Raw genomic sequence first — 10,655 nt, 5'->3', positions numbered from 1 at the left:
CACAACAGTGCTTTGCTGTTTTATCATCATGTTTTTACATGGGGCATTCACTGGGTGTAGAGGCTGGCCGCAAATACGATGTCCCGCCGTAGCAAGGTAGCCGCTGTCTCCATCTTGGCACCCAGCACAGGCTCTCCTACCAGGCGGGCTGCCCCCCGCAGTGAGCGACACATCTCAGCCAGGCGCTGAATGCAGCGGACCACCAGGCCCTCAGGGGTCCCTGAGAGCCCTGCCAACTCGGAGAAGGGCTGTGGGGAAAGTAGGGTGAGGACTGGATGCACTCAGCCTGGGCAGGTTCTCCCCAGCCAGCCGTCTGCAAAATCCCAAACCTCAGGTACTCACCATGCCCCGGGCCCACTCATATACAACCTCAACCAGCCCAAAATTCAGCTCCCCCACAAATTCCTCCACCGTCTGGTTCAGGCCACAAGCCACCTGGACCTCACCAATCCGCTTGGCCACAGCCCGGACACGTTCTATTCCCTGCAGGAAAGAAGGAGAGGTTAAGGCCTGCCTTCCTGCTCCAGGACAGGGAAGGACCAGATCAAGAAGGCAGCCATTTTCCATCCTTGGGGCACTTACAGGGCTGGAGGGGGTCACCTGGGGGACTACCTGAAGGTGAAGGTCAGGAATGCCACAGCCCTGGCAGGGAGAAAGGGGTGGTGTCCCCTACCTGCTTGAGGGTGTTTGGGAGCTGATCCCCAGCGTCCCCAGGGCTCTGGCAGACCAGGCCAGAGAGCAAGGCAGCAATCTCCTCAGGCCGCAGGGTGCTCAGTGCATTGTCAAACATGAGCTCAGTGAGGAGCAACTCATGGCTGCTCATGGCACAAGCCACCCGCCCTGCCAGCTTCACAGTGCCCGCCTCGTCCACATAACCCAGGGTTCGGAGCACCTGCAAGAAAAAGGGTGGGCATTGGACACACTGCTGTCCCCTAGCCCCCCTGCCCCAACCACTGCCCCACCCACCTCTACTCGCTGATGGTACTCAGGAAGCAGCAGCAATGACTGATCCGACAGTAGGAAGCGCAGCCGCTCCATCTCCTTCTGTATCTGCATTCGCTCCCGCAGCTTCAGGTACTGCAGAGAGCCACCCGTCAGCCTTCTCCTTGCCCCTTAGCAGGGGTGCACTGAGGACAAGGGCTGAGATGGGGGCGGTCAGTCTACAGGGGACCACAGAGGAAAAGCCCCTACTCCCAGCTTGGGAGTTACCACCCAGGGTCCTACCTGGGCAGGAAAACGGGGGCTGTGTACACACTGAGCCCCCTGGATCAGCTCCTCCAGCTTCCGGGCCCGGAGCCCACCCTCTACAACTGACATATCTTTGAGCTGCAGGTCATTGACAGGGTCGAGGGTGGGAGGTCCGGCTGGGTGGGCCTGAGCCAGACGCAGCAGTTCCTGGACAGCAGTGGTCACGGCTGCAAGGGGAGGATCCTTCCTGAAGAGGGAGCAGATCTTAAGATCTGGGGTAAGATCTTCTCTCCCCCAGAAGCCTCCCTCAGGCTGTGGAAGCCCTCTTACTACAACCTCCACTTCACAGTCTCCCTTAGGCTGGGGGAGCCCCCTCACTACAACCCCACCACTTCATGGTCTCCCTCAGGCTGGAGGAAACTCCCAGACCACTGCCCCTCCCTGCCTCTACGTGCCCCTCTGGAGGAGAAGGGCCTCCCTAGCATCTCTGACTTGAATTTTGGCTGCTGCCTCTTGCTGAAGTCCTCCAAGATCTTCTCCCCATTCACCCGGAGCACCTTGGTGGTGATGGCAGCCATATCTCCTGGCTGGAGCTTGACCACGGTGTGGTCACAAGGCCCTGTGAAAAGGGGAGAGCAGGGCAGACATTGCCATGGACCCAGGCATCCTGCTTATACTGCTGGCAGAAAACAGACATCTGCCACACTCTCACCTTCAGGCAGGAACAGCTTGAATCCCACGAGGTCATCTGGATAGGGCACCTCTGCAGTGGCTGGCCCCCTGTCCTGTGGGTCCTGGGACAAGGGCTTATCACACAAGACCAGGGTTGTGAATACTCTGCTGGTGGAGTTCGAGGAGACCTGGGGGTGGTCAGAGAGGCCAGGAGAGGGGGGTGTGATGAGTAGACATCAAAGGCAGAGACCAGATACCCACCCTTGGGCAGGAATCAGGAAGCAACCATGCAGAGCTCACCAGTAGAGAGGGGCAACCAAGTCAAGCGATCAGAGCAGACTTCTTGGGGTGGTGGGAGGAAGGAGTGAGCATGATGTGGTGATGGGAAGGGAGAGGGTGAAAAGGAGGGCAAGAGGGGAAAATGAGGGCCCTATGATGACGCAACCTGCCCTGGCCAAGTGGGGAAAATGGAGAGAGGGCTTGCTCCCTCCCACCCTCTGGAGTCCAAATTCCCATCACCCTCACCTGTAGGATCACTCCCAATGCGTTGTGATGCTCCTGATTCTTCACAACCACCACCCTTCCTGCTGAGAGAGACTTCAGCCCGTTCACAGACTCCATGATGCGTCGCTGAAGAGCAAAGGACAGATGGGAGGAGGCATCACAGGGACAGACACTTGGACTAAGTTTAGTAGCACCTAGAGTAACACGATCTTCTCTTCCCTTCTCCTATCACCTCCTCAGCACTCACACTTGCTCACCTGGATCATGTGCTGGGTCTCTGTCAGTTCCTCCCCCCAGCTGTAATATTCAGGCAGGTCGACCAGTTGGCCAGTCATGTCAGGCTCCTCCAAAGCTCCCAGCCTCTTGGTCAGTTCAGCCAGGGCCTGTTCATGGGCCTTGGGTGGGAGCAGGGGAAGCTGTGAAAGGGGAGTCTCCAGGCCCAATCTGTCACACTCCCCACCCTCAACACACTGGCCTCTGGATGCCTACCTATTCCCAGCCTGTCTTTGGCCAACCTCCTGCTCCACACACTGGTTACCCCAGGCTCCTTACCTTGCTGTCTTTGCGGGAGGGAAACTCAGAGAAGCTCCTCTTCATCATGTCCTCCACCCTGAGGGCATCCACTCGCAGCAAGTTGAGGATCATAGTGTACGTGAGGCGGAACTGGGACTGCAGCTGGGACGGCTTCCCCTGGAGTCAGGTCACAGAAGTCACTGAGATCAGGGTGGGACCTACTGAACCCCAGCCAGTCTTCTGGACTGGGCCTACTCCCGTCAGATCCGGTCCTAGCTCTGCAACCATGGGGCCTTGGACAAACCACTTGCTCACCTCTTCTGTAACATAAGGGAGCAAACTGAAATAAATGGACTCAAAGGCCCCATCTAGCTCCATATTCACATGGGAGAAAACTGGAAGAGATGGGCTCCAATCTCATCCTTGGATTCACTCACTCCTACCTCAGCTTCTCCCAGGCAAAACAAAAAAGTCGGAGGAAGTTGGGCGCTGTGGCCCACACCTATAATCCCAGTACTTTGGGAAGCTGAGGCAGACAGACTGCTTGAGCCCAGAAGTTCAAGACCAACCTGTGCAACATAGCAAAACCTCATCTCTACAAAGCATAAAAAAAAAAAAAAAATTAGCCAGGCCTGTGTGGCATGTGCCTGGAATCCCACCTACTTGGGAGGCTGAGGTGGGAGGATCCCTTGAGCCTGGAAGGCAGAGGTTGCGGTGACCCGAGATTGTGCCACTGCACTCCAGCCTAGGTAACAGAGCAAGACCCTGTCTCCAAAAAAAAAAGGAAGAAGAAAAAGAAGAGAGGAGAATCGAAGACAGAATCCAGCAAGGTCCTGGAGCTGGGGCCCTGCCGAGCATGCTGGCCCGCTCACCATCATCATGCGGTGCAGGTCTGCCATCTCGGGCACTCGGCCCTTGCAGAGCAGGATAACGGTGCCTGTGGGGTCCAGGCCCCTCCGCCCTGCCCGGCCTGCCATCTGCACATACTCCCCAGGGAGCAGGTCCCGGAAGGTGGAGCCATCGTGTTTGCGCATGGAGTCAAACACTACTGTACGAGCAGGCATGTTTACTCCCATGGCAAAGGTCTCTGTGGCAAACAAGACCTGGGACAGAGGAGAACAGAAAGGATCAGCAAAGGCTCTACATACACACACCCCCAGCCCTGGCCAAGCCCACCTTACTTTGTAGGCATAAGGCACCATCCCAGTTGTTACTTATGGGATCTCACTGAACTCTCCAGGCAAATCTATAGGGCAGGTATTATTGTTTTCCTCATTTTACTTATGTAGCTACTTATTTCTATTTCTTAACTTTTACCTTCATATCCCATTCCCATCCCTGACTGCAATCATTCCAATGTATCCAACAAATATCTTTTTATATAAATATGATCTTATAGAACATGTCTTCTTTTGTGAGCTTGTAGTTTATAATTCATATAAAAAGTGGTTATATATCTGATTTTTTTTTGCTTCTTTTTCTCCACCTAGTGTTTCAACATCTGTCCATGTTCCTGTGGCCACATCTAACCCACTGCTTCCAACTGCTGCAGAACACTCTATGGGTGCATCCCCCACACTAACCTTCCCTCTCTCCCAGTGAAGGGCACCCTGGTACTACCAACACCATGCCACCACAAACAAAGGATGGGTGTACATGTTCTCTCACAGACCAGGGTGAGAATTTCTTTGTGATATATACCCAGGAATGAAATATAAGCTCAGAGTATGATATAGTTTTTGTTTGTTTCTTTGTTTGTTTTTGTTTTGAGATGGAGTCTCCCTCTGTTGCCCAGGCTGGAGTGCAGCGGTGCTATCTTGGCTCACTGCAATCTCTGCCTCCTGGGTTCAAGCAATTCTCCTGCCTCAGCCTCCCAAGTAGCTGGGACTACAGGCACCTGCCACCATGCCCAGCTAATTTTTGTATTTTTAGTAGAGACAGGGTTTCACCATGTTGGCCAGGATGGTCTCGATCTCTTGACCTTGTGATCCACCCACCTCAGCCTCCCAAAGTGCTGGGATTACAGGTGTGAGCCACCATGCCCGGCCAATATAGTTATTTTGTCTAAATAGTGCCAGCGTGCATTCCAAACTGGCTAGGCATCCCGTAAAGGATTCCCAGAACCCTACAACCTCCTATATCTCTGGCAACACTCGGCATGAACTAGTTTCCTAAATTTTACCAGTCTAATAGCTGTAAAGTCGTATCTTGTGAGTACTTCAATTTGTATATTTCTGATTACTAATAACTTTTCGAATGCTTGCTAGCTTCCTGGGTTTCTTTTCTGAGACCTACGTATTCATATCTTATGCATCCCCATTTTAAGATGGGAAACCTAAAGTTCAGGAAGGTTAAATAATTGGTCCAGGATGATACTGTGAATACATGGTGTACCTGGGATTCAAACCCAGGTAGTCTGAATCCAGAGCCCAGATTCTTAACCACAGCACTGGCCTGCCTAAACCTCTGCCCCTCTGCCCTCTGGGCAGCCCCTAAGTGGGCAACAAGCACCCTGAGGAGTCCCTTTCCACCACCACATGCACCTTGACCAGGCCACGGCTGAAGAGCATCTCCACGATCTCCTTGAGGATGGGCAGGATGCCGCTATGGTGCACACCCAGGCCGCGATTCAGGAGCTCTGACATGTGCAGGACCTTTGGTGGGAGGAGGCCCATGGTCAGGGATGGAGTCTCGGAACACCCTATCCCCACCAGTCTGCCAAATGTGTGCATGCACGCACACAGACGCACACAGACGCACCTGGGGCAGCTGGCGGTCAGAGCCACGGAGGCGAGCAAGGCAGCGCTGCAGGAAGAGGTGGATCTCGCTCTTCTCCGAACTGGTGGTGAGGTCAAGGGAGGTGAGGCCTGAGGCCTGCTCATCACAGCGGCCCCGGGAGAAGGTGAACACCACCACGGGCAACTGGGCACGTGTGCGGAGGGAGGCCAGGAGGGACAGGTACACTCCGCGGTCCTGGAGAAGGAAGGGGAAGGGGAAGGAGCAGAGGTTGAGTTCCTGAACCAATGAGAGGTGAGCTAGTGTTAACTGGGGCAGTGCTCAAAGCTCAAGTCAAAACCCCTGGGGGACAAGGGGAAAAAAAAGATAGGAGGAAAAACAGGTGCTGGCAGGTACAAAACCCTCCCAGTTCTCACCTGTGCAGGGCCCCCCTGATGTGTGGGCTGCTTGGCCCCAAAGGTCTGGGCGTGTTTGCTCATTCTCTCCTTCTTGGCCTCCACAGCTGCATAGTACCTGGGGCACAGGGAGGGGTAGCCACAATGTCCAGCTGGGGGCCCAGCCCTAACTCTTTCCCCCATCTCGAGGCTTACCCTTTTGTATGGAAGGCTCCTCGGGAGTCCAGCAACAAAAAGAGCTCCCCCTGGGTCTTGGAGCTGTTCCCTGTGAAAAGATAGTGCTCCAGGGGCACGGGGCGGGTTACAGTGCTAATCACATAGATCTGACGACGCTTCAGCCGCCTGAAGAAAGGAGAGGGAAGCAGGTCAGGGGTGGGAACGTGGGAAGGAACCCACATCCCCACCCCCTTCCCTACCCCTCCAACTTTACCCAGTCTTTTCTGAGACCCAGAATGGAAGGCTATCCCCCAACATCTCATCCCATTTCAACATGCAAAGTAATCTGGACCCAAAGGGGATCCCACAGCCACCAGGTGGGACATGTTCCCCAGCATCACCCCTAAGGCCTGACCGCTCTCCTTGCTGTGGTAGACTTAGTCCCCCACCCGAATCAAGGAGTACTGTAGCCCCCTTCACCCAGGCAACCCGGGACACACGTCTCACCCAATCCAGTCAGCAAACTCAAGGGCGTTGGGGACGGTGGCACTCAGAAGGATGATAGAAACGTGGTCAGGTAGCATGATAAGCACCTCCTCCCACACGACCCCACGCTGGGCACAGAGAGGGAAGGGAGGTCACATGAGGGCAGGGGCCGCCCTTCTGCCCATAAAGAGGCACAGGATTCCATATGGGGGTAAAGAAAGCAGTAAGGGGCCCTGAGTGTGTGGAATAAGGGAGACGCTCAACTGGTCCCAAAGGAGAGGACTGCCGGGTTCTGGGGAGCCCATGGCCCTTACCTCGACATCGTTGATATAGTGAACCTCATCAAAGATGACCCACTCCAGGTCCCGAATAACATCTGAGCCACTGTACAGCATGGAGCTGGGGAGAAGAGGCCAAGGATTGACTCCCCAGTGGCTCGTCTCCACCCCCTCCTCAGACAGCACACTCTCCACAACGGCCACATCTTCCCAGCCAAAACTCCCCTGTATTGAGTGTCCATCTCTCACCGAAGGATCTCTGTGGTCATGATGAGGCAGGAGGCCTCCGGATGCAGCTGTACATCCCCGGTGAGCAGCCCCACATCCCCGAATGTGTTTCGGAAGTCCCGGAACTTCTGGTTGCTCAGGGCCTTGATGGGCGAAGTGTAGATGGTGCTGGGAAGAGAGCATGAAGTTAGCCAGTCCCTCCGCAGACTCATGGCCCGCACTTCCTCTCCCACATGGAGCCCTCGTGGAAGCATGCCCCAGAAGCTCAGGTGCTCCTCTTCTTCACCCAAACTGCCCTTACATTCTCCTGCATGATATAACCCCAGAAAAATTCTGTCCCCAACCCCTTCCTAAACTAACCCAGGTCATTCTTCTAAACTTTCTCCCCACCATGTCTTTTCATTTCTCTCTGGGCTCTTGTCTCAGTCTTAGCCCTGAACCTCTCACTTAAAGGATGAGCTAGAGAGGTGGGGGAAGAGATGAGATTTTCAAAGGATGCAGGAGAAAATGGGGCTGGCTGGTGAAGGGGGAGGTTGGCAAAGGAACTCATACCGTGTCATGTGTTTCTGGGCCAGGGCAATGGCATATTCAGCCACAACTGTTTTTCCTGCAGATGTGTGAGCTGCGACAAAGACAGAGTCATGCCGTTCCAAGTGCAGGATGGCCTGTTTCTGAAACACATCTGGCTCAAATGCCCACTATGGGAGAGAGAAATAGACAGGAGCTGAAGAAAGGAGCGGGGCCTTGCTGCCTCCTGCTCATGGAGCACGCAGGGCGGGCGGATGAAGGCCGGAGCCAGCCGAGGCTGGGACTGAGTACCAAGACTGGCCTGGGATGGATCTGACCTCTGGCCAATAGAGGAGACAAGGGGTCGGCTGGGAGTGTGACCCAGAAAGAGGTAGAGGAGCGTGTGAAGATGGGGCCAAAGTACCTGGAAGGCTGGCTGGGGAATGAGGCGATAGAAATCACCAACAGGGGAGGTGGCGTCCACAGGGATGGCCCACTGCTCCTGAGATGGAGGCTCTGGGGCCTCTGGGGTGGATACAGCTGTGGACGCTTCCTGGAAGAGTCAGGGGTAGCAGTGATAAAGATACAACCAGAGGGCTCTCAATTAGCACTCCTCCCAAAAGATGTCCCTTTCTTCCCCTCAGACCCATCCTAGCCAGCCCACATCCTGGTGGCAAGGCTCTTTCTTGCCTCCACTACACAGAACCACCAACCTTCAACACTAGGTCTTCCAAGCTGCTTGCTCGGGCCAGGGGAGCACTGCAGGGAGAGGCTGAAACAGTGTCCCCTCTGGGACCTCCTGGCTGTCCCACTGCCTCATTCTCATCCTCGTCACCCCCACCCAAATCCAGAGGCTCCAACATACAGCTAAGGCTTAGTAGTCCAGGAGCTGGAGTTGGACAATCTGAGGAGCAAGCCAACAAGGTCAACCTTGTCATGTCCATCTCTGTTCCTTAGGAGAAGGACATGACTTCTCCTACACCCCACTCAAAAACTAAAACTAACCTTTTGGTGCAAAGTCCATGCCTTTCTTGAAACCAGGTGGAATAGTAAGAAGATCTGTAGGATAGGGACATGAAATCAGGTCACTGCACACTGGTGAACAAATTGTGTACATTATATAAACCTAAAAGATACCATTTACAGGACAGATGCTGTAGATAGGGATGTTTGCTATGACACTTTCCCAACAGATGACAGTAAAGGTTGTTGTAGAAATTTCCCAGCAGATGACAGTAAAGGTTGTTATGGACAGAATATCTTTTTCTAATTTTCTCAAAAACATGGGAGGGCTAGCAGTAGCCCAGTGATAGCCTGGGCTCTTCCTCCTCAAGGCTCAGACTCAGAGCCCCACCTTACCTTTCTCAAAGTCTATCTCCTCCTCAGCCTCCTCCCGTGTGTTCAGATCTGTTATGGTGGGTTCATCCATCCCCCCTGGGAAGAGACAGGACAGACAGGGATTCATGGGATGAGGGTAATACGAGATAGGTGGGGAACCCTTCCCTGGAGATTAAAGACACCCTCTTCTACCATCCCATCTCCACAAGAGTCACCTGGCCAGAAGGGATACTGAGTTGGATTTCCCCATAAGGACTGGGAGGCTGGCCCTGGAGGCCGGCGAAGAGACAAGGAGGTTGTAGCCGAGAGATTTGTGTTCTCCAGCAAGACCTAAGGCAAGAGATCAGAGCCCCAATGAGGCTGAGCTTGTCTCTGACCACCTCCCCTTCTCCCCAACTGTTTCTCATGACCCCTGACCTCCTACCTCTTTGTAACCCAGTATCTGGCCTGTGGTTGGGTGTCTTTGGGCCTGTAGGTCGGATGGGACTGGGGCTCCCAGGACAGCCAAAAGAGACCAGGGATCCGTCTTCCTCTGCCATTTTCTGGAGAGAAAAATAGTAACTTTTGGGTCTTCTTTCTTCCTCTGTCCCAGCTTCCTTCAGGAACCCATCACCCTAGTCTAAGCCCCTCCAGACTCCTCACCGGGCTGAGTGCTCCACACCATGCAGAGGCAGCCAGGCTGGGGATGACAGAAACAACTGTTCTGCTTCTTGCTGCAGATCTGGGGCACAAGGAGGGAGGCCATGGGGAAGCTGAAACAAGGGCAAGATGAGAGGCATTAGGTAAGGAAAGAGGATAAAATGCAGACAAAAGAGATGATGGGACTTGTGTTCAGATCAGAAATGGCAGATGTGTCAAACAGACTAGGACAATCAGGCTTGGCCAAAAACTACCTGCTACTGAATTACCTGGGGCAGATTTTGGATTTCAGAAACATGGAGGCTGGACCTAGGAATGTGCATTTTTAAAAAGCTCCCTGGCTAATCATGAAGCACACTGAAATTGGAGACTCACTGATTTTAGAAAAAGGGGTCCCAGACCTAAGGATGAAAGGTTGGAGGCTCAAAGCCTATCATCTCAGTCACCAAGTGCCCTGGTGCTTGGATACAGAAGGGAGCTCCACGGAGAAATGCCACATTTGAAAGAGCAGCTCTCAAAGCAAAAATATCCCCAGCCCTTTCTGCTCTGTCCTCACATGTACTGCAGGTACACTGGGCTGTAATCTGTCCAGCACCCCTTCAGGCTGGGATGGACAGGAGTACAGGCACAGATGAACAAGGTTAAGCTAGATCCTACTGTGAGGAGGGTGAAGGAGGTTTGGACTCAATGCGGGTCAAAGGTTAGGGTCAAAAGTCACTCACGCTACTCTCTGGAGCTCCAGGCAAGTTCAGCAGCTCCCAGTGCCCCGTGCATCCGAGCTCCACGGCCCGAAGGGGTAGGTCCAGGGGATCTGGAGGGGGTAGCACTACGGGGAAAGGTCAAAAGTCAGGGGTCAAAGTTCATTCCATATCGGCTACTCCGTTCCATTTCCCTCCCCTCCCCCTCACCAAGTCGCTCTGTCTCCATCATCCTGGAGCCACAGCAGCTGCCTGGCAGCCCGGAAGTGCGGCAAGTAGTCGCTGCGAAGTAAGCCCCGCCCCGGAACGGGCGGAAG

At 54.1% G+C, this 10,655-nt stretch overlaps 1 protein-coding gene across 4 annotated transcripts, besides 1 other annotated feature; it reads right to left on the bottom strand.

The window, feature by feature from the left end:
- SKIC2 (SKI2 subunit of superkiller complex) lies at positions 12 to 10,588 on the bottom strand. Of its 4 annotated transcripts, NM_006929.5 has the most exons (28): positions 10,549 to 10,588; positions 10,363 to 10,466; positions 9,644 to 9,753; positions 9,426 to 9,543; positions 9,217 to 9,331; positions 9,023 to 9,097; positions 8,669 to 8,722; positions 8,377 to 8,567; positions 8,088 to 8,216; positions 7,709 to 7,854; positions 7,178 to 7,324; positions 6,965 to 7,049; positions 6,672 to 6,778; positions 6,204 to 6,350; positions 6,030 to 6,126; positions 5,638 to 5,850; positions 5,421 to 5,531; positions 3,750 to 3,980; positions 2,917 to 3,054; positions 2,622 to 2,759; positions 2,386 to 2,490; positions 1,901 to 2,048; positions 1,681 to 1,807; positions 1,225 to 1,435; positions 967 to 1,077; positions 674 to 892; positions 343 to 483; positions 12 to 248 (listed from the first exon to the last, which is right to left on the bottom strand). In NM_006929.5, the coding sequence occupies exons 1-28, from the start codon at positions 10,568 to 10,570 to the stop codon at positions 48 to 50; spliced, it is 3,741 nt and encodes a 1,246-aa protein (NP_008860.4). In that variant the 5' UTR covers positions 10,571 to 10,588; the 3' UTR covers positions 12 to 47. The 4 variants fall into 4 exon arrangements, with proteins under 4 accessions (NP_008860.4, XP_011513117.1, XP_047275215.1 ...); XM_011514815.4 differs by lacking the exons at positions 12 to 248; positions 343 to 483; positions 674 to 892 and having other exon boundaries at positions 997 to 1,127; XM_047419259.1 differs by lacking the exons at positions 12 to 248; positions 343 to 483; positions 674 to 892 and having other exon boundaries at positions 1,023 to 1,140.
- Positions 6,799 to 7,998: an enhancer, noted in NCBI's record as "CDK7 strongly-dependent group 2 enhancer chr6:31929542-31930741 (GRCh37/hg19 assembly coordinates)". NCBI's record gives its function as "activates an origin of replication core promoter dependent on BRD2, BRD4, P300/CBP, MED14 and CDK7 cofactors, with strong dependence on CDK7, by STARR-seq in HCT116 cells {active_cell/tissue: HCT116}" and the evidence as "EXISTENCE:reporter gene assay evidence [ECO:0000049][PMID:35650434]".

Source organism: Homo sapiens, chromosome 6 (genome assembly GCF_000001405.40).
Source record: "Homo sapiens chromosome 6, GRCh38.p14 Primary Assembly".
Classification (NCBI taxonomy): domain Eukaryota; kingdom Metazoa; phylum Chordata; class Mammalia; order Primates; family Hominidae; genus Homo; species Homo sapiens.
The sequence above is the reverse complement of the archived record's forward strand: the minus strand, read 5'-3'. Positions and strand labels throughout refer to the sequence as shown.

Excerpts from the sequence above, each read along its gene's own strand:
- SKIC2 (NM_006929.5), bottom strand. The coding sequence starts at position 10,570 with ATGATGGAGACAGAGCGACTTG. Across the intron at positions 2,760-2,916 it reads CCTCCCGCAAAGACAGCAAG|GCCCATGAACAGGCCCTGGC; the intron begins GTAAGGAGCCTG and ends CTCCCACCCAAG. Across the intron at positions 893-966 it reads AGTACCATCAGCGAGTAGAG|GTGCTCCGAACCCTGGGTTA; the intron begins GTGGGTGGGGCA and ends TTTTTCTTGCAG.